Raw genomic sequence first — 24,428 nt, forward strand, 5'->3', positions numbered from 1 at the left:
ACACATTGAGTTTGAGGTGCTTGTGCACGAGCAAGCAGGGCAGAGCTATCTAGTAGACAGTTGCACAACGAAGCCCAGAGCTCAGGTTAGCTGTGCAGGTTTGGGGATCATCAGCTTTCGGAAGGCAGCCGAAGCCATGGGAGTGGAAGAGATGACCAAGGGGGAGTGGGCTGGATGTGAAGAACCTCGGGGAGTCCGCATTGAAGGGAGCTGCAAGGAAAGCAGATTCTTTACTGTATCCCCAGCGCCTAGCTGAATGATATTTACATGGGACACTGGAGAGAGGAGGATACTCCTACTGAAAGGAAGGGCAGAAAAGAGGACCGTGGTCCAGAAGCTAGGGAAAAGAGTGCGTTTGAAGAAAGTGGGGTGTAGTCTACCATGTTAAAACCTACAGGCTTGCTGGGTGCTGTGGCTCACGCCTGTAACCCCAGCCCTTTGGGAGGCCAAGGTGGGCGGATCACCTGAGGTCAGGAGTTCGAGACCAGCCTGGCCAACATGACGAAACCCTGTCTCTACTAAAAATACAAAAATAAGCTGGGCATGGTGGTGCGCACCTATAGTCCCAGCTACTCGGAAGGCTGAGGCAGGAGAATCACTTAAACCGGGGAGGCAGAGGTTGCAGTGAGCCGAGATCGCACCACTGCACTCCAGCCTGGGCGACGGAGCAAGACTCCATCTCAAAAACAAACAAGCAGAAAAACCTACCGGCAGATCAAGGAGGATAAGGCCTGGGAAGCATCCATGGGGTGGAGTGCTAGGGGATGCTTGGTGAGTGTGATGAGGGCATTTGATGGGTGGAGTGGGAGCCAGGTCTCAGGGATGAGGAGGGAATGGGAAGAAAAGAGTGACGGGGATCTGTGGACGACATTCTTTAAAGCAGGCAGGCCGTGAAGGGGAGGACAGGATATGGCACCTGAAGAAGGACAGGAGTTGAAGGGGCGCTGTTTTTTATCCTTTTAATATTGTAGAAACTTGGCCAAACTTAAATGATGGGAAGGAACTAGTAGATTGAAGGTATAGGAGAGCTGGAAGAGGGCATCTGAAAGGGAAAGGAAGTTATACTAGAATAGGCAGCCCAGGCTTCCGGTTCTAGGTGCTTCAGGAGCCGTGGCTTAAGGTGCAGACATGGCCAAGTCCACACCATACACCACCAGTCCCGAAAATGGCACAGAAATGGTATCAAGAAACCGCGATCACAAAGATACAAATCTCTTAAGGGGGTGGACTCCAAGTTCCTGAGGAACATGCGCTTTGCCAAGAAGCACAAAAGAAGGGCCTAAAGAAGATGCACACCAACAATGCCAAGGCCATGAGTCCACGTGCCGAGGCTCTCAAGGCCCTCGTAAAGCCCAAGGAGGTTAAGCCCAAGATCCCAAAGGGTGTCAGCCATAAACTTGATCGACTTGCCTACATTGCCCACCCCAACCTTGGGAAGCTTGCTCGTGCCCGCATGGCCAAGGGGCTCAGGCTGTGCCGGCCCAAGGCCAAGGCCAAGGATCAAACCAAGGCCCAGGCTGCAGCTCCAGCTTCAGTTTCAGCTCAGGCTCCCAAAGCTGCCCAGTGCCCTACAAAGACTTCAGAGTAGATATCTCTGTCTGCCAACGTGAGGACAGAAGGACAGGTGCCACCCACCCCGGGCTGCCGTCTGCATGGGGCTGGGGTCCTCCTGCGCTATTGGTACAAATAAGCCTGAGGCAGAAAAAAAAAAAAAAAGAATAGGCAGCCCAGGAAGAAGGGTTAGCCTTGGGTGGGAGGAGGGACTGTCCTATCATAAATGGGAGAAATTGTAGCGTGGAAACAGGTAAGTGCATACGTTTTACAGCTGGAAGTGGATGGAATTCTCACCTGATGGCCTTTTATTTCTGTGATATAGGAGGTGAGGCTTTCTGCAGAGAGGGCAACAGGGCAACAGGAAGACCAGGTTTGAGAAGAGTGGAAAGGATTTGCAGGTAGTGACTTGTGAGAACAGGAGGGAGGGCAGGTTAGGGAACAGGGATGCAGCCTGGAGAACCCAGGTGGGACAGGCTGAGTCACGGTGGTGCCAAGCTGTGTGGTCATGTGACCTTCTCCAGCCTTTCCCACAATGACCTTCTCCAGCCTTTCCCACAGGGGCTCGAGGGGAGGACAGTCGGATTTAGCCAGCACTGGCGTTTTGTCAGGAGGTTTAGACTAAAGAATGAGACAAAGTGAGTGAGGATTGGCGAGAGAGTGGCTAAAATAAAGGATACCAAGGTCTGTGGAGGAGGAAGTGAAGTAGGGAGGGGGTTAACAGGAAGAAAAACCAGGGGTCAGTGGTCTGAAAAATAAGCAGGTTGGGAGAACTTGAGGACCAATGCTGGGATGCAGGGGAGGAAGCTGGGCCCCGGGAGCAGGAGGTCTGAGTGGGTTTTCTCAGACGTGGAGCGGTTGTGAACAGCAAGCTTCAGGGCGTGGCATGGGAGTGGCAGCTGGAACAGGAAGGAGGAGGCCACTGGATATGAGGTGGCAAAGGACACTTAAGATGAAGGCTTCATATGCAATTTAAAATTGCCTGGTATCTCTTTTTTTTTTTTTGAGACAGTGTCTCTGTTGCCTAGGCTGGAGTGCAATGGCACAATCTTGGCTAACTGCAACCTCCACCTCCCAGGTTCAAGCGATTCTCCTGCCTCAGCCTCCTGACTGATATCTCATTTAATAAAGAAAAAAAGGCCAGGAGTGGTGGCTCATGCCTGTAATCCCAGCACTTTGGGTGCTGGGTGAGGTGGGTGGATCACCTGAGGTCAGGAGTTTGAGACCAGCCTGGCCAACGTGGCAAAACCCCACCTCTACTAAAGATACAAAAATTAGCTGGGTGTGGTGGTGGGCACCTATAATCCCAGCTACTCGGGAGGCTGAGGTGGGATAATTGCTTGAACCCAGGACGTAGAGGTGGCAGTGAGCTGAGATTGCGCCACTGCACTCCAGCCTGGGTGACAGAGTGGGACTCCATCTAAAAAAAATTTGAAAAAAAGAAACAAGTGAATTAACTAATTAATTTATTTATTTTGAGACAGAATCTAGCTCTGTCACCCAGGCTGGAGGGCAGTGGTGCGATCTTGGCTCACTGCAACCTCCACCTCCCGGGCTCAAGCAATCCTCCCAGCTTAGCCTCCAGAGTAGCTGGGACTATAGGCTCACACTACCATGCCTGGCTAATTTTTGATTTTTTGTAGAGATGGGGGTCTCACTATGTTGCCCAGGCTGGTCTCAAACTCCTGAGCTCAAGCGATCACCTACCTCAGCCTCCCAAAGTGCTAGGATTAGGTGTGAGCCACTGTGCCTGGCCCCAGTGAAATTCATTTTAATACTTGATCCAACATTCCCCAAATATCATTCCAACATCAATCAATATAAAAATTATTAATGGGATATTTTCTATTATTTCTATCTATTTATAATGATTATTGTTTTAGAGACAGGGTCTTGCTCTGTGGAGTGCAGTGGTGCGATCTCAGCTCACTGCAACTTCTGCCTCCCAGGCTTAAGCGATTCTTGTGCCTCATTCTCCTGAGTAGCTGGGATTACAGGCGCACGCCACTGCGCCCGGCTAATTTTTGTATTTTTTGTAGAGATGGGATTCCCCCGTGTTGGCCAGACTGGTCTCAAACTCCTGAGCTCAAGTGATCCGCCTGCCTCGGCCCCACAAAGTGCTGGGATTACAGGCGTGAGCCACCATACCAGGCCTCTGCTTCATTTCTCATCTCGACATTTCCCTGTGCTTCCCAGCCTCTCCACCTGTTCGATTGTTGCTCTAGTTTATCCCCTCGTGCGGTCCCCTCACTGCCTGGCTGCTCTCTCTCAAAGGTCCCTTCTGATTCTCTTTGCGGAAATTGACTACTGGGAGCGGCTGCTGTTTGAGACGCCCCATTACGTGGTGAACGTAGCTGAGCGAGCCGAGGACCTGCGCATTCTGCGTGAAAATCTGCTACTCGTTGCTAGAGACTACAATAGGTAGGGCTTCAGTCCTCACTGCAGCCCTTCAAGATGCTATTTTATTCCTTCTTTTTCTCTTATCTGCCCTGTAATGTTGTTCATTTTCTACAATTTCTGTCCTCTACATCTTTTCCATCTCAAAAAAAAAAAATTGTCTCCCACTCTTACGGCCCTATCATTATTCCTACCCCTTGTAGTTTTATTTTCTAGCTGCAGGGTGGAGAGTAAAGCCAACCAGGTCCCCTCCCACCCCACTGGTCACTTGTACCATATATATTGTAGCTCTGGGCCAGTTCTCTAGGAATGAGACGGGCTGGCATTAGGATTATGTGCACAGAATAACATCAGACTCATTGAACTAAGGCCCTGCTGCCCCCATCCCTGCCTCAGTTTCTGGACTGCCTTGGTATTCTCTCTGGAGTGAGGCTTTGTTCTGGGTTAGGTACTGTCTTAGTCTGTTTGGGCTTCTATAACAAAATGCCATAGACCGGGTGGCTTATAAACAACAAACATTTATTTCTCACAGTTCTGGGGGCTGGTGAGTCCAAGAGCAAGGCACCAGCAGATTTGGTGTCTGGTGAGGGCCTGCGTCCTGGTTCATAGGTGGCTATCTTCTTGCTCTGTCCTCACATAGTGGAAGGAGACAAGGGAGCTCTCTTAGGCCTCTTTTATGAAGCCACTAATTCCATTCATGAGGGCTCCACCTTCATGACCTAATCACCTCCCAGAGGTCCTAACACCATCACTGTGGGAGTGGGGATTTTAACATATAAATTTGGTGGGGACACACACATTCAGACGATAGCAGGAAATTTCTCAGCCCAGTTAAAGTCCAAGGAGGTGCAACCAGCAGTCTTGTTTGGGTGTCTAGAACTGCAGTGTCCAACATGGTGGCCTCCAGCTGCATGTGGCTATTTCCATGTAAATTAAGTAAATAAACTTAAAAATTTGATTACTCATTGGTACAGGCCACATTTCAAATGCTCCATAGCCAAATGTGATGAGTGGGTGCTATATTGGACAGCACACATCGCATTAAGTTGGTGCAAAGTGATTGCAGTTGTTGCCATTACTTAAATGGCAATCACTTTTGCACCAACCTAAGAGAACACTTCCATCATTGCAAAAAGTTCTTTTGGAAGTACTAGTCTAGAATCTAGTCTAGAATCTAGACTAGTGGTCTAGAAATGTTCACATTTCTCCACTGTTTCCTGAAGTGGAGGAAAGATCTTCAGGGCTTGTCCCCTCTGGATACCAGGCCTCTCTTATGCACAGGATTATTGCCATGCTGTCCCCAGATGAGCAGGCCCTATTCAAAGAGCGTATTCGGCTCCTGGATAAGAAGATCCACCCGGGACTCAAGAAACTGCACTGGGCCTTGAAGGGGGCCAGTGCCTTCTTCATCACGGAGTGCCGTATACATGCCAGCAAGGTGGGCCATGGTCCTTAGACCCTAAAGGTCTGCAAGGCTGATGGGTCATTTATACCTGAGTGTTGCATAGAGATTGGGAAACCTGGGGGTAGTGTAAAAAGAATTAAGTTTGCTTGGGGAAGGACTTTTTTGTGTGTCATCCAGTCTAGCTGGAGAACAAGTGGGAGGGTAGAATGAGGTCCAGATGGTCTCTTCCCGAGCTGAAACTCCCCCATGACGGGGCCTGACTCTAGGTGCAGATGATTGTGAATGAGTTCAAGGCATCCACTCTGACCATTGGCTGGCGAGCCCAAGAGATGTCAGAGAAGCTGCTGGTACGCATTAGTGGCAAACGGGTATACAGGGACCTGGAATTTGAAGAGGACCAAAGAGAGCATCGGGCAGCTGTACAGCAGAAATTGATGAACCTGCACCAGGATGTGGTGACCATCATGACCAACTCCTATGAGGTCTTCAAGAATGATGGTCCTGAGGTAGGGTTCCTGTGGCCAGGATGTTGTGGTTGGAAAAACCACAGTCCCCCAGTTCCATCAGGCCATTCTCTTGCTCCCCGACCCTTTTTTCTTTTTTACCAGTGTGTACTTCTCAAACATCGTGCTCTAGTCTTGGACTCAGCCAACCTTCAGTCCTCACACCTCTTCCTCCAGGACTCAGCGTCCTGCGTTTCCATTAAACCAACTTGTTTCCTTCCCTGTTGGCTGGTTCTCACTTCCCAGGATGTGCCCTGTCTTCCCTGAAAAGTTCTCTTTTTCCTCCCTCCATCCCATCAGATTCAGCAGCAGTGGATGCTGTACATGATTCGGCTGGACCGCATGATGGAGGATGCCCTGCGCCTGAATGTGAAGTGGTCACTGCTAGAACTATCCAAGGCTATCAACGGGGATGGAAAGACCAGCCCAAACCCACTCTTCCAAGTCCTTGTCATTTTGAAGAATGATCTGCAAGGAAGTGTGGCACAGGTAAGAACCACTTTGCCCCCAACATCTCAAAACCATTGCATCTTATTTGTCAGTTTCCCTTAATTCCTAAACTTGGTCCTTGGCCTTGACTTTATCCTATGGCCTTCAGACCTGCTGCTGAAGTGTGTGACCTTCCCAGTCCTAAGGCTTTTCTCTCCATCTCCACTGGGTTCCTCACAGGTGGAATTCTCACCCACTCTGCAGACTTTGGCAGGTGTGGTCAATGACATTGGCAACCACCTCTTTTCCACCATCTCTGTCTTCTGCCACCTCCCTGACATTCTCACCAAGCGCAAGTTACATCGTGAACCCATCCAAACAGTTGTGGGTGAGTGGGCAACGGGGAGGGCACAAGGCACAGGGTTTCAGAGGCTGTCGAGTGGGCCAGGCCAGGAGGAGAGACCAGGGCTATTTCCAGGCATACTGGGCCAGTCACCTCCCTGACCTGGGGAAAACTCAGGTCAAGGGGCCAGATCGGCTGGCACAGTGGCTTGTGCCTGTAATCCCAGCACTTTGGGAGGCTGAGGCAGGCAGGTCATTTGAGGTCAGGAGTTCGAGACTAGCCTGGCCAACATGGCAAAACCCCATCTCTACTAAAAATCCAAAAATTAGCCAGGCATGGTGGCGGGTGCCTATAATCCCAACTACTCAGGAGGCTGAGGCAAAGAATCACCCCGGAGGCGGAGGTTGCAGTGAGCGGAGATCATGCCACTGCATTCCAGCCTGGGTGACAGAGTGAGACTCCATCTAAAAAAAAAAACAAAAACAGGGGGGCCAGACTGGGGAAGGGAGCAGGGGCTTGGATGGGGGTTGAGATTAGGTGACTGATGCTCATGGGTTTTGGGATTTGGGATGGGAGATGAGGAAAGACAAGCTTGGGACTGGGACTGGGACTGGCCTGTAAGAGGCCTAGATACCAACAGACAAGACATCACATCCTATGAAGGAGACACTAAGAGTCACATTTTCACTTTCTGCCTACTCCTTTACCTTCTAATGTGCATGTTTGAGCTGTATTTCTCTGGGAAGCTGGTTTTAGAGTGGAAGGTCTGGAGCAGTGGGCAGGGCTCAGGCAGAAGTTGGGTTGGGGTGGAAGTCAGTGAGAAGCATCTTTCTTGGTCCTTTGAAGAGCAAGATGAGGACATCAAGAAGATCCAGACCCAAATCAGCAGCGGCATGACTAACAACGCAAGCCTGCTGCAGAACTACCTCAAGACCTGGGACATGTACCGGGAGATCTGGGAGATCAACAAGGACTCCTTCATTCATCGCTACCAGCGCCTCAACCCTCCTGTCTCTTCTTTTGTTGCCGACATTGCCCGGTGAGTGGTGAGGGTGGATTGAAAGTCTGTCTGTAGGAGGCACAGCACTGCAGGAGGAGCCCAGGCCTAGAGTCTTGGGAAGTGGGTAGGGGAGCTGAGGATGACATGTGTCCTCAATGACAGGAAAAGAACAGGACCTAGGACATTGGACCTTTGCTTCTCAAGGGGTAGAGATCAGGGAAGAGCTGGACAGGATTTAGGTGAAAAGCAGTTGTCTAGGGGAGGATGGCAGGGCCTGGTGAGAAAGAAGAAGTTCCAGAGATCTGGAAGATGAAAGAAGTGAGCCCTTTGATTCTAAGAAGGCAGATGGGAGTTAAATAGAAGATTATTTTGTTTGTTTTATTTTGTTTGAGACAGGATCTTGCTCTGTCATTGCCTAGGCTGGAGTGCAGTGGTGTGGTCATAGCTCACTGCGGCCTGGACCTCCTGGGCTCAAGCGATCCTCCTGGCTAACGCTCCTGAGTAGCTGGGACCACAGGCACATGCCACCATGCTTGAATAATTTTCTTTTTTTTAAAATTTTTTGTAGAGATTCTATGTTGCCCACTCAGGAAGAAAATCTTTTTTTTTTTTTCAAATATTTTTTTTTGAGACAGAGTCTCACTCTGTCATCCACGCTGGAGTGCAGTGCAACCTCTGCCTCCCGGGTTCAAGCAATTCTCCTGCCTCAGCCTCCCGAGTAGCTGGGATTACAGGCATTCACCACCACGCCTGGCTAATTTTTGTATTTTTAGTAGAGACAGGGTTTCACCATGTTGGCCAGGCTGGTCTCAAACTCCTGACCTCAAGTCATCCACCCACCTTAGCCTCCCTCAGTGCTGGGATTATAGGCGTAAGCCATTATGCCTGGCCTAGAAGAAGATCTTAATTTCTGATCTTAACTCACATCTTTTTATGGGCCTCTGGTCATTCATTCATTCATTCTGTAAACATTCATTCCATAAACATTCATTGTATGGGCCATGAGGAGTTAAGAAAAAAAAAAAAAAGAAATGAGCAAGTTCTTTCCTCCTGAGGGCTCTAGAGTAGTAAGGAAGATAAAAGTATCGCTGAAAGAGTGGTGGCCGTGGTGTCACGAGAAGACTTGGAATCGCAGCTGTGCCACTTAGTAGCTGTGTGACTTTAGGCAGGTTTTCTGTATTCTCTGGGCCTCAGTTTTCTATGAAACAGATATTACACTACCTACCTTGGAACCTTGTGAAATGATTAAAGATACATGAAGGCACTTTGTAGGCTGAAGCCCTGTGCTCGTGTACTGTGTTATTACACAGCTGCACTGTGGTAAATACTGTGATGAAGGGATATCACACGCCAGGGCAGTTCAATGGAAGGACAGAGGATTTCCAGCTGGGGATTTTAGGGAAGGCTTCCTGGAGGAAGGGACTTTGCGTAGGATTTCTTTTTTTTTTTTTTTTTTTTTTGAGACGGAGTCTCACTCTGTCGCCCATGCTGGAGTGCAATGGCGCCATCTCTGCTCACCGCAAGCTCCGCCTCCCGGATTCATGCCATTCTCCTGCCTCAGCCTCCCGAGTAGCTGGGACTACGGGTGCCCGCCACCACGCCCAGCTAATTTTTGTATTTTTAGTAGAGATGGGGTTTCATCGTGTTAGCCAGGATGGTCTCAATCTCCTGACCTCATGATCCACCTGCCTTGGCCTCCCAAAGTGCTGGGATTACGGGCCTGAGCCACCAAGCCCGGCCGACTTTGCATAGGATTTCAACAGGCAGAGATGGGCAGTGGGGAAGGCATTCCATGTGGAGGAAATAGCATGAGCAAAGGCATAAAGATGTGAGTCCATGAGCACGTTCACCCCACAGAGTGAGATCTGCAACATAGGCACAGGAAAGGAAGAACACAAAGGGGCGCTGTAGCAGCCAAGTGAATTCTCCCAACCACCTTGTGAGGCAGGCTCTGTTACTGTCACTGTATTACAGATGAGGAAACCGAGACTCAAACAGTTAAAAAAAAAAAAAAAACCTGCCTGAGGTCATAGAACTAGGAAGCAGCACAGGGCAAATTCAACCCAGATCTGTGCCACTCTAAAGCTTTTTTTTTTTATTGAGACAGAGTCTCACCCTGTCACCCAGGCTGGAGTGCAGTGGCGCCATCTTGGCTCACTGCAGCCTCCGCCTCCCGGGTTCAAGTGATTCTTCTGCCTCAGCCTCCCCAGTAGCTGGGATTACAGGTGCCCGCCACCACACCCAGCTAATTTTTGTATATTTATTTATTTATTTATTCTTTTTGAGACAGAGTCTTGCTCTGTCGCCCAGGCTGGAGTGCAGTGGCGCGATCTCGGCTTACTGCAAGCTCCGCCTCCCAGTTTCAAGCCATTCTCCTGCCTCAGCCTCCCAAGTAGCTGGGACTACAGGCGCCTGCCACCGCACTTGGCTAATTTTTTGTATTTTTAGTAGAGATGGGGTTTCACCGTGGTCTCGATCTCCTGACCTCGTGATCTGCCGGCCTCGGCCTCCCAAAGTGCTAGGATTACAGGCGTGAGCCACTGTGCCTGGCCAATTTTTGTATTTTTAGTAGAGATAAGGTTTCACCATGTTGGCTAGGCTGGTCTTGAACTCCTGACCTCGTGATTCACCTGCCTCGGCCTCCCAAAGTGCTGGGATTACAGGCGTGAGCCATCGCACCCTGCCTCACTCTAGAGCTTTGAATGCCAGAATAAGAAGTTTGACTGCTATCTTATAGCCAGTGACTGGGAAAATGACAGTCAGTCACAGCTGCATGGCTGGGGCAGATTGGAATGAGGGATGCCTGGGAGTAGAAGAACACTCTAGAACTGCTGCCCAGGTTTGGGTGGAAGGAAATGAGACCTGCAGCCCGTGTGGGGACAGAGGGTATGTCTGCAAAGAAAACAACATCCTAGCTGGGATCTGGGGCTCTTGCAGCTACACGGAAGTTGCTAATAACGTGCAGAAGGAGGAGACAGTCACCAACATCCAGTTTGTGCTGCTGGACTGTTCGCACCTCAAGTTCTCCCTGGTGCAGCACTGCAATGAATGGCAGAACAAGTTCGCGACTCTGCTCAGGGAGATGGCTGCTGGGCGCCTCCTGGAGCTGCACACCTACCTGAAGGAGAACGCAGAGAAGTGCGGGCTGGGGCGCCCCACAGGAAGGGGGCAGGGGCAGGCACTGGGCCTTCCACTCACTAGCACTCCCTTTGCCCGCCTTCAGAATCAGCCGCCCTCCGCAGACACTGGAGGAACTGGGGGTCAGCTTGCAGCTCGTGGATGCCCTGAAGCACGACTTGGCCAACGTGGAGACTCAGATCCCTCCCATACACGAGCAATTTGCCATTCTTGAAAAGTACGAGGTGCCAGTCGAGGACAGTGTGAGTTCCTTTGGTGTTTGGTTTACCTGGGACCCGTATCAGCAGCAGATTGCGGGGGAGGCCCTTGGCTGTCCTCGGGGAGAGTAGAGAAGTGACAGCAGGAGGAGACTCTAGATTTGAAAGCCAAAGCTAGCTCAAATGATACCTTTACTTAGCTTCTGGATTTCTTTTCTTTTCCTCTTCTTCTTCCTCTTTTTTTTTTTTTTAAACAGAGTCTGGCTCTGTCACCCAGGCTGGAGTGCAGTGGCACGATCTTGGCCTACTGCAACCTCTGCCTCCCAGGCTCAAGTGATTCTCCTACTTCAGCCTCCCAAGTAGCTGGGAACACAGGCACACGCCACCACGCCTTGCTGATTTTTGTATTTTTTGTAGGGATGGGGGTCTCATTTTGTTGCCCAGGCTGGTCTTAAACTCCTGAACTCAAGCAATCTGCTGACCTCGGCCTCCCAAAGTGCTGGGATTACAGGTGTGAGCCACCGCACCCAGCTGGATTTACTTACTGTATTTACTTTTTTTTTTTTTTTTTTTTTTGGTTTTGGCCTCATTCTCAGATATACAGCTTTTGGATTTTTTTTTTTTTTTTTTTTGAGACAGGGCCTCCATCCATTACCCAGGCTGGAGTGCAGTGGTGCAATCATGGCTCACTGCAGCCTCAACTTCCTGGGCTCAAGCGATCCTCCCACCTCAGCCTCCTGAGTAGCTGGGACTACAGGCACCTCAAGTGATCCTCCCACCTTGGCCTCCCAAAGTGCTGGGATCACAGGCGTGAGCCACCACACCCGGCCAGGGTTTCTTTTAGGCCTGGCAAACTCACACCTTGATTTTTTTAGCCCTTGTCACATGTGCAAAACTCGTCCCCAGACTCTGGTCTGGAGGATCAGAAAAGAGTCCTTAAAAACTTTCATGAGAGGGCAGACCTCCTGCTCCTGGTCATCCTCCACGCATGAGAGGGCAGACCTCCTGCTCCTGGTCATCCTCCACTCATGAGAGGGCAGACCTCCTGCTCCTGGTCATCCTCCACTCATGAGAGGGCAGACCTCCTGCTCCTGGTCATCCTCCACGCATGAGAGGGCAGACCTCCTGCTCCTGGTCATCCTCCACTCTCTGACTCCCCCAGGTCCTGGAGATGCTGGACAGTCTCAACGGGGAGTGGGTTGTCTTCCAACAAACTCTGCTGGACAGTAAGCAAATGCTGAAGAAACACAAGGAGAAATTCAAGACAGGCCTGATCCACTCGGCAGATGACTTCAAGAAGAAAGCACATACACTTCTGGAAGATTTCGAATTCAAAGGTACTCCTTGATCCACCTCTCCCGCTTCTTTAGCCTTTGTTTAGAGACCCCGCCTTCCAAGCCCAGGTCCTGGGAAGGCGAGAACTGGGAGGGGAGGAGGAGGGTCGGTGCTGGGGTGGGGGAAGAGCCTCCACTCAGGAGCAAAGGAGGAGGACACTCAGTGGCTCTCGTTTTGGGTAGACAGCGGCGCAGCTCACAGCATTTCTACTTTTCTTTTTTCTTTTTTTTTTTGAGATGGAATCTCGCTCTGTCACCAGGCTGGAGTGCAGTGGCTCGATCTCAGCTCACTGCAACCTCCGCCTCCCAGGTTCAAACGATTCTCCTGCCTCAGCCTCCCCGAGTAGCTGGGACTACAGGCACATGCCACCACACCCGGCTAATTTTTGTATTTTTAGTACAGACAGGGTTTTACCATGTTGGCGAGGATGGTCTTGATCTCTTGACCTTGTGATCTGCCTGCCTCGGCCTCCCAAAGTACTGGAATTACAGGTGTGAGCCACCGCGCCCGGCCCGCATTTCTACTTTTCTTATCCCGACTTCCATATTCCATCTGTTCCTGACTCTCAAGCCACATTTAGGAGTTTTTGCTAAGATTAACCGTTATTCTTTCAACGCGTTCCCTCTTACTCTCCTTCCCTTCCCTCTCTCACGTGAGGAGAGAGGTGAGATTTGCCCACAAAGAGATAGGAGAGCCATGGCTGTCCTTGCCAGACGTGAGCGGGAAGCTGAGCTTCATCCTGAATCCTCCACAGGCCATTTCACCAGCAACGTGGGATACATGTCTGCCTTAGACCAGATTACACAAGTGCGGGCCATGCTGATGGCCATGCGGGAAGAGGAAAATAGTCTCCGAGCCAACCTGGGCATCTTCAAGATCGAGCAGCCACCCTCCAAGGACCTTCAGAACCTGGAGAAGGTGGTGTGCTGAGCAAGGACCCTGTGGTCACTGTCGATAAGGGGCAGGGACAGGAGAATGGGTCCTTAGCGCCCACAAAGGCAGTGGGAAGGGAGAGGAGCTCACAAGGAGCTTTTGTTTGTTTCAGTTGAGGTAAAATTCATACAACAAAATTAATCCTTTTTTTTTTTTTTTTTTTTTTTTTGAGATAGAGTCTTGCTCTCTCACCCAGGCTGGAGTGCAGTGGCACAATCTCGGCTCACTATAACCTCTGCCTCCCGGGTTCAAGCGATTCTCATGCCTCACACTCCCGAGTAGCTGGGATTACAAGCATCCACCACTATGCATGGCTAATTTTTATATTTTTAGTATAGAGATGGGGTTTCACCATATTGTCCAGACTGGTCTCGAACTCCTGACCTCAGGTGATCCACCTGGCTCGACCTCCCAAAGTGCTAGGATTACAGGTGTGAGCCACCACGCCCTGCCAAAATTAACCATTTTGAAGTAAACAATTCGTGACGTTTAGTAATTCATACCACATCTATCTAATTCCCAAACATTTTTATTACCCTAAAGGAAACTCTGCCCATTAGCAGTCACGTGCATCCCCCGTCCCCCGCCCCAGTCCCCCGTCCCCCGCCCCAGTCTGTTATGAGCCTGTTTTCCATGTGTATGATTCCCCTATTCTGGACACTTCATACAAATGGAACCATTTGTATGATAATACGTGGCCTTTTTAATCTGGCTTCTTTCGCTTAGCATAATGTCTTCAAGGTTCATCCATGGTGTGGCATGGATCAGTACTTTTTTAAATGGCTGAATATTCATATTTGAATATCGCATGAGTTTACCACATTTTGTTTACCATTCACCAGTTGATGGACATTTGGGTTGTTTCCACCTTTTAGCTAAAGGGAGTAGTGCTGCCATGAACACGCGTGTACTTGTATTTGTCTGAACACCTGTTCCCTATTCTTGTGAGTGTAAGCCTAGGGGTGGAATTGCTAGATCATATGGAAACTCTATGTTTAACTTTTTGAGGAGCTGCCAAGCCATTTTCCACAGCAGCTGCACCGTTTCACATTCCCACTAGCAGTGTACAAGTCTCCCTATTTCTCCATATCTCCGTGCCAACACTTATTTACCTTTTTTTTTTTTTTTTTGGTTCTAGCCATCCTAGCGGGTGTGAAGTGGCATCCCACTGAGGTTTTGATTTGCATTTCCCTAATGACTCATGACATTGAGGATTTTTTCATGTGCTTGTTCCTTGATAAGCTCTTAAGGCAACAGAGTGGAGAAAAATATGTGGACTGAGGAGGCCGCTGTATTATCTAGAGGGGAAGCTTCACAGAGCGAGAGCAGCGAAGGGCCTGGGCGTCCGTCAGGGAGGAAGAGGGCAGGTGCCACTTCATGCAACGCGCCTTTCTGCCCTGTAGGAGCTCGATGCCCTCCAGCAAATCTGGGAGATCGCACGAGACTGGGAGGAGAACTGGAATGAGTGGAAGACTGGCCGGTTCCTGATCCTGCAGACGGAAACCATGGAGACCACGGCCCACGGGCTGTTTCGTCGCCTCACAAAATTAGCCAAAGAGTATAAGGTGGGGAGAAACGGCGGGGAGGCGGAAGAGAAGCTGGTGGAGGATCTGGGTCTGTTCCCAGGGAGGTCGTCGGGTCTTCTCATGCCCCCAACTTTTGCTCAGGACCGAAACTGGGAAATTATTGAAACCACTCGCTCAAAAATAGAGCAGTTCAAGAGGACCATGCCTCTCATCTCAGACCTGCGGAACCCTGCCCTTAGAGAGAGGTGAGGCTTCTCCTCTGCTCCGGGGTGTCCACTCTGCCCCGCTGGCCTGCGCCACCACTTGGTCCCTCCCATTCTCCTCTCCGCAGTGTTCACAGCCCTCTCTTCCCCTCTGTCCACAAATGTATGTCTTTTTCTCTTTCCTCTTTTTAACATTTAATTTTGATGGACGCATGAAAATTGCATACACTTTGGTGTACAGCATAATGTTTTGAAATATGTACACATTGTAGAATGGCTAAATTGAGCTAATTATCATATGCATTACCTCACATACCTATTTTTTGTAGTGAGAGTACTGAAAAGCTACTCTCAGTGATTTTCAAGTATACAATAGATTGTTATTAACCATTGTTGCCGTGATGTACAGGAGATCATCCCTCTTGTCTAACTGAAATTTTGTGTCCTTTGACCAACACCTCCCGAACTTTCCACCTACCACCCCCAGCCCCTGGTAACCAGCACTCGACTCTGCTTCTGTGAGTTCAACCTGTTCAGACTTTACATATGACATATGAGTGCGATCATGCGGTGTTTGTCTTTCTTCGCCTGGCTTATTTCGCTTAGCATAATGTCCTCCAGGTTCTTCCATGTTGTTGCAAATGACAGGATTTTCTTCTTTCCTGAGGCTGAAGAGTATTTCTTTGTATATATACACCACATTTTCATCCTCCATTCATCGCTTGATGGACACTTAGGGTGATTCCACATCTTAGCTATTGCAAATAGTGCTCAGCGAACATGTGGCGCAGACACCAAGCCTGCCACTGTCCTCTGCTTCTTGCACTGTCTCGGGTCATCCAGCCTTGCTGGCTTCTTGTTCTCTGACCCCTGCCCTGGGGCCTCCCTCTCTCTGAAAGGGAGTTGTCTATCATGACTAAGTCTTATGTCTTTTTTTTTCCTTTTTTTGTGGGGGAGACAAAGTCTCACTCTGTTGCCCTGGCTGGGGTGCAGTGCTGTGATCTCGGCTCACTGTAACCTTCACCTCGCGGGTTCAAGCAATTCTTGTGCCTCAGCCTCCCAAGTAGCTGGGATTACAGGCACCTGCCACCATGCTCTGCTAATTTTTGTATTTTTAGTAGAGATGGGGTTTTGCCATGTTGCCCAAGATGGTCTTGAACTCCTGGCCTCAAGTGATCCGCTCGCCTTGGCCTCCCAAAGTGCTGGGATTACAGGCATGAGCCACCGTGCCCGTCCCGCCTTATGTCTTTTGTTATACAAAAGATTTTATTTTGAGGTAGCCAGAAGTATAACTTTCTTTCTGTATGGTTTTTGCCTTTGTGCCTTGTTTAGGAAGACCTTTCCTATCCCAAAGTTACAAATACATCCTCTTCATTCTTTCCTCTAATGCTTTGTGTTTCTCAGGTTTAACTCTTTTAATTCATCTGGAATTTATTATATGGCAGAGGATGTATCTCAAACCATTGGGGATAGATTTATAAAAATAAAGTAATTTTTATAAATGGTGTTTCAATCATGATCTATCCATTTAAGAGAAAATAATTTTACTTCTTTGTCTTTCTTCCAGTATAACGTTTTTGGCAATGCCAAACCATTAAGTGTTATACGGTTATGTATAACCTAACCACTTTATTTGCTTACATTATTTAACCTCTCTAAGCCTCAGTTTTCTCATCTGTAAATGGAATAATAATAATTCCTAATTTATAGAGTAGCCGTGAGAATGATATGAGATGTTTCATGTAAGGCCTTTACTCAGTACAGTTCTAGAGTAAACCTGCGGTGATTCATTGTGTGTTTTGTGGGCACACCTGCCTTAACTTCCTCTCCAGAGAATCCACTCCTGGAGGGTTTCACCTCAATCTTCGTATTCCCCTGGTGCCTAAGATTGCATCTTCGAGCCTGTTTAGCAAAATGAGTTGAATCATGAATTGGTAACTATGCAGAATCATAGTGTCCCAGTGGGAGACAGCAATGGAGTGATGGTAACTCTCCTGACCTCACACCCTCCTGTTCCTGGCTGCAGGCACTGGGACCAGGTCCGGGATGAGATCCAGCGGGAGTTTGATCAGGAATCTGAAAGCTTCACCTTGGAGCAGATTGTGGAGCTTGGGATGGATCAGCATGTGGAGAAAATTGGGGAGATCTCTGCTTCAGCAACTAAAGAGCTGGCTATAGAAGTGGTACGACAGTCCCCTCCCATGCTCCCACACCTCCTGCGCCTCCTGGAGCACAGGCTCCAGCTGTTCATCATCTGATGGCGCCTCTCAGCTCCTGTTCCCCTTAGTGAAGAGATACCTGACTGCTGTGTCCCCCAATTTCTCTCCACAGGCTTTACAAAACATTGCCAAGACCTGGGATGTGACTCAGCTCGACATAGTACCCTACAAGGATAAGGGCCATCATCGGCTCAGGTCAGGGGAGCTGGGGCTCTAGGAGAATGGAGGGCTGTGTGACCCAGGCTGCAGAGTGGGACCAAGGTTGGGCAGGTGGGGATGAACTATGATTTTGACCCCTTGTGTCTCAGAGGTACAGAAGAAGTATTCCAGGCACTGGAAGATAACCAGGTAGCTCTGTCTACCATGAAGGCATCACGCTTTGTCAAGGCCTTTGAGAAGGATGTGGACCACTGGGAACGCTGCCTCTCCCTCATTTTGGAGGTTATTGAGATGATTCTCACAGTGCAGCGTCAGTGGATGTACTTAGAGGTCAGGACTCAGCGCCTGAGCTCTTCCTGCTTCCTGCTCTTACTCCTTCTTTTTCTTAAGACCTAGATTTTGCCCTGTTATCAGCCTCATTCTCCTACCTTTAAAGTCACTCTTCATCTAGGACCCAGCTGTCTGATTCTTAGTTATTACCTCTCACCTTAGATTCCCTCCGTAACAAGTTTTTGTTCTTCTCAGATTTTTCTTCCATTTTTCTTCTTAGACCCAGGTAGCTGGCCCCCTACCTCCAGCTTTCCTTGTAGAACTTGGGCATCTTGGCCTTTGACTTCTAGCACTCTGTATCTTCTACCCAACTGTCACCCACAATCTGGGAACAGGGAGCAGAGGGTGGAGAGTGTGTAAGAAGTGGCCTCTCACCCCAACTTTTGGCCCCCTCAGAATATCTTCCTAGGAGAAGACATCCGCAAGCAGCTGCCCAATGAATCGACCTTATTTGACCAGGTCAACAGCAACTGGAAAGCCATCATGGACAGGATGAACAAGGACAACAATGCTCTCCGGAGCACCCATCACCCAGGTCAGAGCTCCAGGGCTCCTGCCCTGACACAGCCTCGGCAGGCACTCTGCTTGGTCATGGTTGCGTGCTTCATTTATTAAAAAGACTGATGCCCCCAGCTCTCCTAACATTTCCCATCTCCATCACCTCTTCTAAGCATTAGATCATAATTCTGTAAATTAAACTCAACAAATATTTGAGTGGAGTATAATAATGTAGTGGTTAAGAGCATGGGATATGGAATCAGTCAGATGAGTTTATTTATTTATTAAAAAAAATTTTTTTTTTGAGACAGAGTTTTGCACATTGCCCAGGCTGGAGTGCAGTGGTGCGATCTCGGCTCACTGCAATCTCTGCCTCCCGGGTTCAAATGATTCTCCTGCTTCAGCCTCCCAAGTAGCTGGGAATACAAGCGTGTGCCACTACCTCTGGCTAATTTTTTTATTTTTAGTAGAGATGGCGTTTCACCAAGTTGGCCAGGCTGCCTTGAACTCTTGACCTCAGGTGATTCACCTCCCTCAGCCTCCCAAAGTTCTGGGATTACAGGTGTGGGACACTGAGCCCAGCCTACGTTGACTTTCTTTTAGCAGATTAACTAGCCTTCAGCCATGGGATGGGGTAGGGTATGGGGAAGAAAGGGATGAACACACGGCAAGATGAACACATAGTGAGGCCTGGTCGACTGGGGGAGACTGGGGTAGACAATCAGGGAGTCAGGTTTGACAGCGGGCACCTAGAATGGGCATCCTGTGCAGAAGAATTCTGGTGGGGGTGCAGAGGACCTCTTTATTTTACCTAGGGCTAGTCTTAACAGTGCTTCATTTTCCCAAGAGCCTTCAGTATACACATCAATAAAAATAATTTTAATTATTCTGATAAAAGATAAACATGAAAAGTTATGGTATGCAAAGTTGAATGACAACAACTGATACTATTTGAAATAATTGACAGAATTATATTCCGTAACAATTTATAAGCAAAGCCAAAAAAACAATGATCCCTTTGTTGAATGCACAGAACAAATCCATCTTGTCCACGGCTACTGAGCATGCCTGTGATCTCCAGGGGTCACTCAGGTTTGACTCAAAGGATCCAACAGCCTGTAGACCCTGTGCTTGAAGGCATGAGGGTCACCTCTGAGTTCACACTCACTAGTGTCCCTCCTTTCTTCAGAAAGCTAGGAACTGGGAAGACAAGGGGAAAATCAATCAAGGCCTGAGGTATGGGGCTGTAGGCTGGGAGGAAACTAACATTATTGAGAAGCTACTGATGTGAATACATTTCAATTACTACTCACATTGGTTTTTTGTTTGTTTGTTTGTTTGTTTGTTTGTTTGTTTTTTAAGACGGAGTTTTGCTCTCGTTGCCCAGGCTGGAGTGCAATGGAATGATCTAAGGTCACCACAACCTCCACCTCCCGGTTCAAGCAATTCTCCTGCCTCAGCCTCCCAAGTAGCTGGGACTACAGGCGTGTGCCACCACACCCAGCTAAGTTTGTATTTTTTTAGTAGAGACGGTGTTTCACCATGTTGGTCAGGCTGGTCTCGAACTCCTGACCTCAAGTGATCCACCCACCTCGGCCTCCCAAAGTGCTGGGATTATAGGCATGAGCCACCACACCCAGCCTCACGTTGGTTTTTGAGATGGATTTTATTGCCATTTTGTACACAAAAAGGTCAAAACTCAGTGAGGTGAATTGACATGACAGTAAGTGAAAGAACTACTATCTGATTGGGGGTCTTCTGCCGCCTGCTCTGGGACTCTTTCTGCTATGACATGAAGGACATTGGCAACCCCAGTCCTTGCAGATTTCTTTCACTGTGTGCACATGCCATGTATCTAAATAAAATTATTTAGCTTGCTAGATTGTGTAAGTGGAGGGTAATCTCTACTTTTCAGAAGCTCTTGGGTTGGCCAGTGGATCCCCAAGTTCTTCCTCCAGCCCTTCTTTTCTTTTTTGCCTATGGGAAATCTAGGAAGACGGACCCCCAAGTTCTTAGGTGGGTGTGTTATACAGTGTCCCCCCCACCCACTGGGGATATGTTCCAAGACCCCCCAGTAGATGCCTGACACCTCAGATAGTAGTGAACCCAATTGCCATCAATCAGAACATGTTTCTGTTCGTGTCTCCCTCCCATAAATTCAATGCTCTTTCCATCTTAACTAAGCACTTATTACGCACTGAGGCTGTAACTTTTGCAGTTTGAGGTGTGACAGCAAAACTATCATGAATTTCTTTTTCCTTCGTCGCAGTTTCACAGATAGAAGATTCATATTCTGTTTTTCTTCTTTTTTTTTTTGAGACGGAGTCTCGCTCTGTCGCCCAGGCTGGAGTGCGGTGGCACAATCTCGGCTCACTGCAACTTCTGCCTTCTGGGTTTAAGCAATTCTCCTGCCTCAGCCTCCCGAGTAGCTTGGATTACAGGCACCCGCCACCACGCCTGGCTAATTTTTGTATTTTTAGTAGAGATGGGATTTTACCATGGTGGCCAGGCTGGTCTTGAACTCCTGACCTCAAGTGATCCACCCACCTCAGCCTCCCAAAGTATTGGGATTACAGGCATGAGCCACTGTGCCAGGCCAGAAGATTCATTCTTACTGTAGATCTCAGCAAACTCAGTTGAGAACTTTCACCTTTTCACTTAAAGGAAGGAAGCTGTTTATGGAAGCACTTTACGGCTTCTCTTTGGTGTATCTGAATTGGCAGCATCACTACTCTTGCACTTTTGCTTACATTATTAAGTGACATTAGGGTCACTTGAACACAGGCACTGCTGTGATGTCGCAACAGTCGATCTGATAACCGAGAGGGCTACTAAGTGACTCACGGGCAGGGAACCTCCGCAGCATGGAGACGCTGGACAGAGGGATAATTCACATCCTGGGGGACAGAGCAGGATGGTGAGAGATTGCATCACACTACTCAGAACAGTGTGCAATTAAAACCTAGGGATTATTTCTGGAATTTTCCATTCAGTATTTTCGGACCACAGTTGTCTGCAGGTAGTTGCAACCATGGGACGTGAAACTGTGGATAAGGGGGAATTACTGTATTAATGAAATCATATATGATGTATCAATGCATAAACGGTAACATGTACAATAGTGCATAATGAATACTGTAATGAATTAACAGAGAGAATGGGTTGAGCATGTTAGACAGTCTGGGGATACTTCTCTGCGTCCAGAAACCCTCATGGCAGTCTGTGCCCCACTGTTCAAGAGCTGGCAAAGAACACAGAGTTGGGGCATCCAGATCCGCCCAGGGCAGTGGAAATGAATCAAATGTCATTCATCGCTCTTCTTCCCAGGCCTCCTGGACACATTGATAGAAATGAATACAATCCTGGAAGATATTCAGAAATCTCTGGATATGTATTTAGAGACCAAGCGACATATTTTCCCCCGCTTCTACTTCTTGTCCAATGATGACCTGCTGGAGATTCTGGGCCAGTCCCGAAACCCAGAGGCTGTGCAGCCACACCTCAAAAAATGCTTTGACAACATCAAGTTGCTGAGAATCCAGAAGGTCAGTAGAAGTGGCCACAGTGAGATGCTGGGTGGCGAAGGGAGGGTGTTGGGGTATGAAAAGCTTTGGAGGGGACCCTGCCCTCCCAAAAGGAGGGCCATGTTAATTAATGATTCTCAATTCTCAGGGGGATAGAACTTCTTAGAATTGGTAATATTGAGAGGAGGGGAGAGGAGCAGTAATTATCCTCAAAAGGCCCCAGGACTTCTAGGCGGACACCAAGGGTGGGCAGGCCAGGCTCTGAGTAGCTTCTGCTTTCTGCAGGTTGGAGGGCCCAGCAGCAAATGGGAAGCTGTGGGGATGTTCTCGGGCGACGGCGAGTACATTGACTTCCTCCACTCAGTATTTTTAGAAGGCCCTGTGGAGGTGAGTTGTGGTGAGGGTCTGAGGACCTAGCTGATTCTTCTTCCTACAGAAAGTTCACCTGGGTCGGGCGCAGTGGCTCACACTTGTAATCCCAGCACTTTGGGAGGCTGAGGTGGGCAGATCACCTGAGGTCGGGAGTTTGAGACCAGCCTGACCAACATGGAGAAACCCCGTTTCTGCTAAAAATACAAAATTAGGTGGGCGCGGTGGCGCATGCTGGTAATCCCAGCTACTCGGGAGGCTGAGGCAGGAGAATCACTTGAACCTGGGAGGCGGAGGTTGTGGTGAGCTGAGATTGCGCCATTGTACTCCAGCCTGGGGAACAAGAGTGAAACTCCGTCTCAAAACCAAAAAAAAAAAAAGAAAAAAAAAAAAAAAGAAAGTTCAACTGGCTCCATGAGGAGAGAAGACCTCTTTAAATGGCCGTTAGTCACTCTTTCCCATCTCACCTGCCATTCCTGACAATGACCATCTCTGCTCTGAACCGAAATTTCCTTCTGAAAGTCAGATCATCTGCCTCCTAGCCTCCATTTCTCTCAGGAACGCAAGCCAGCTGTTGGCCATTCCCGCTTTTCTCTGGGTACAAAGCCCTGAAGTGCTGCTCCATAAGTGCCTTCCCTGTGGAGGACCTTGGCCGTGCCCCCTCAGGCTGAGCTGCCCTATTCTCCCACCTCCCCCCAGTCCTGGCTTGGCGATGTGGAACAGACCATGAGGGTGACCCTGCGGGACCTTCTCCGGAACTGCCACCTGGCCCTCAGGAAGTTCCTCAACAAGAGGGACAAATGGGTGAAGGAGTGGGCTGGCCAGGTGAGCTGGGGTCAACAGAAGTGAGGGAACAAGGGGCTGGGCACGGTGGCTCACGCCTGTAATCCCAGCACTTTGGGAGGCCGAGGTGGGCAGATCACTTGAGGTCAGGAGTTCAAGACCAGCCTGGCCAACATGGTGAAACCCCGTCTCTACTAAAAATACAAAAAATTATCTGGTGTGGTGGTGTGCTCCTGTAGTCCCAGTTTCTCAGGAGGCCGAGGCAGAAGAATAGCTTGAACCCAGTAGGTGAAGGTTGTAGTGAGCCGAGATTGTGCCGCTGCACTCCAGCCTGGGTGACAAAGCAAGACTCTGTCTAAAAAAAGAGAAAAAAAGAAAGAAATGAAGAAATGAGGGAACGAGAAGATGGAGTTAAAAGGAGGTGGCCAGTGGAAAGACAGAATCTTGAGTCTCACACAGTGTGGTTTCTTACCCCCCTTTCTGAGCTGTGGCTCTGGTACACTCCAAGCTGGACCCTTAGCTCCTGACCTGAGGCCCATGTCCCATCCTTCAGAGCAGATTGGGTGCAGTTGGGAGAGGCACATGGTTCTTGAATTAGCTGGGACTTGGGAGCTGGGCTGTGCGTGTAGCCAAGGACAGGGCTTTGGGACGTGGCTTCTGCACATCCCCAGGTGGTGATCACTGCCAGTCAGATCCAGTGGACGGCTGATGTCACCAAGTGCCTGCTGACAGCGAAGGAGCGGGCAGACAAGAAAATCCTCAAGGTCATGAAGAAGAACCAGGTGAGAGGCTGGGCGCACTGGCTCATGCTTGTAATCCCAGCACTTTGGGAGGCAGAGGTGGTAGGAGCCCACTCGCTTGAGCCCAGGAGTTCGAGACCAGCCTGGGCAATATGGCGAAACCCCTTCTTTACCAAAAAATACAAAAATTAGCTGGTGGCACACCCAGGAGGTTGAGGCTGCAGTGAGCTAAGATCGTACCACTGCACTCCAGCCTGGGCGACAGAACAAGACTCTGTCTCAAAAAAAAAAAAAAAGAAAGAAAAGAAAAGAAAAGAAAAAAGTAGGTGGGTGCTCTGCAAGTATGGGCTAGGCCTGGAGCTAGAATTGCAGGGAGGGAGCAGTCAGAATTAGAGGTGAGCTGGTGGAAAAGGGCCAGAGCGAGGGTGCTTTATGATGGAAGTCCAGTGGGGGCAGTCCGTGGTAGAGCAGAATTACCAGGAGTTACAGCAGGTGGGGTCAGCACCGGGTTGGAAGCGGTGCTGGGTAGGGGCAAGGGTTGATCAGGCTTTGGCGGCATTGCTCTGTCTGCTCTCTTCCCTGCTGCTTCATGCCACAGGTGTCAATCCTGAATAAGTATTCAGAAGCCATCAGGGGGAACTTGACCAAGATCATGCGGCTTAAAATTGTGGCTCTGGTGACGATAGAAATTCATGCCCGGGATGTGTTGGAGAAGCTTTACAAGAGTGGCCTCATGGATGTCAATTCCTTTGACTGGCTCAGCCAACTTCGGTTCTACTGGGAGAAGGTGCCAGATGGGCCACCTCCCCACTCTCTTACCGTAAAATGGATCCTAATGCTTTTATT

The 24,428-nt window shown here is 49.2% G+C and overlaps 1 protein-coding gene and 1 pseudogene across 11 annotated transcripts in view; both read left to right on the plus strand.

The window, feature by feature from the left end:
- DNAH2 (dynein axonemal heavy chain 2) overlaps nt 1–24,428 on the plus strand; it is a 115,999-nt gene that overhangs the window by 35,522 nt on the left and 56,049 nt on the right. For all 10 annotated transcript variants that reach the window (NM_020877.5, XM_047435424.1, XM_011523667.3 and 7 more), the window contains 21 exons: nt 3,826–3,972; nt 5,230–5,386; nt 5,620–5,859; nt 6,157–6,345; nt 6,526–6,673; nt 7,475–7,667; nt 10,566–10,766; nt 10,852–11,008; nt 12,126–12,300; nt 13,053–13,216; nt 14,635–14,796; nt 14,899–15,002; nt 16,987–17,143; nt 17,292–17,374; nt 17,488–17,668; nt 18,065–18,203; nt 21,494–21,711; nt 21,976–22,077; nt 22,759–22,884; nt 23,514–23,624; nt 24,181–24,369. In NM_020877.5, coding sequence (NP_065928.2) covers nt 3,826–3,972; nt 5,230–5,386; nt 5,620–5,859; nt 6,157–6,345; nt 6,526–6,673; nt 7,475–7,667; nt 10,566–10,766; nt 10,852–11,008; nt 12,126–12,300; nt 13,053–13,216; nt 14,635–14,796; nt 14,899–15,002; nt 16,987–17,143; nt 17,292–17,374; nt 17,488–17,668; nt 18,065–18,203; nt 21,494–21,711; nt 21,976–22,077; nt 22,759–22,884; nt 23,514–23,624; nt 24,181–24,369 — 3,343 coding nt within the window. The remainder of the gene's footprint in view (nt 1–3,825; nt 3,973–5,229; nt 5,387–5,619; nt 5,860–6,156; nt 6,346–6,525; nt 6,674–7,474; nt 7,668–10,565; nt 10,767–10,851; nt 11,009–12,125; nt 12,301–13,052; nt 13,217–14,634; nt 14,797–14,898; nt 15,003–16,986; nt 17,144–17,291; nt 17,375–17,487; nt 17,669–18,064; nt 18,204–21,493; nt 21,712–21,975; nt 22,078–22,758; nt 22,885–23,513; nt 23,625–24,180; nt 24,370–24,428) is intronic.
- Nucleotides 1,055–1,711, plus strand: RPL29P2 (ribosomal protein L29 pseudogene 2; annotated as a pseudogene). Its single transcript, NR_002778.1, has one exon. The product of NR_002778.1 is annotated as a ribosomal protein L29 pseudogene 2 (transcript).

Source organism: Homo sapiens, chromosome 17 (assembly GCF_000001405.40).
Source record: "Homo sapiens chromosome 17, GRCh38.p14 Primary Assembly".
Classification (NCBI taxonomy): domain Eukaryota; kingdom Metazoa; phylum Chordata; class Mammalia; order Primates; family Hominidae; genus Homo; species Homo sapiens.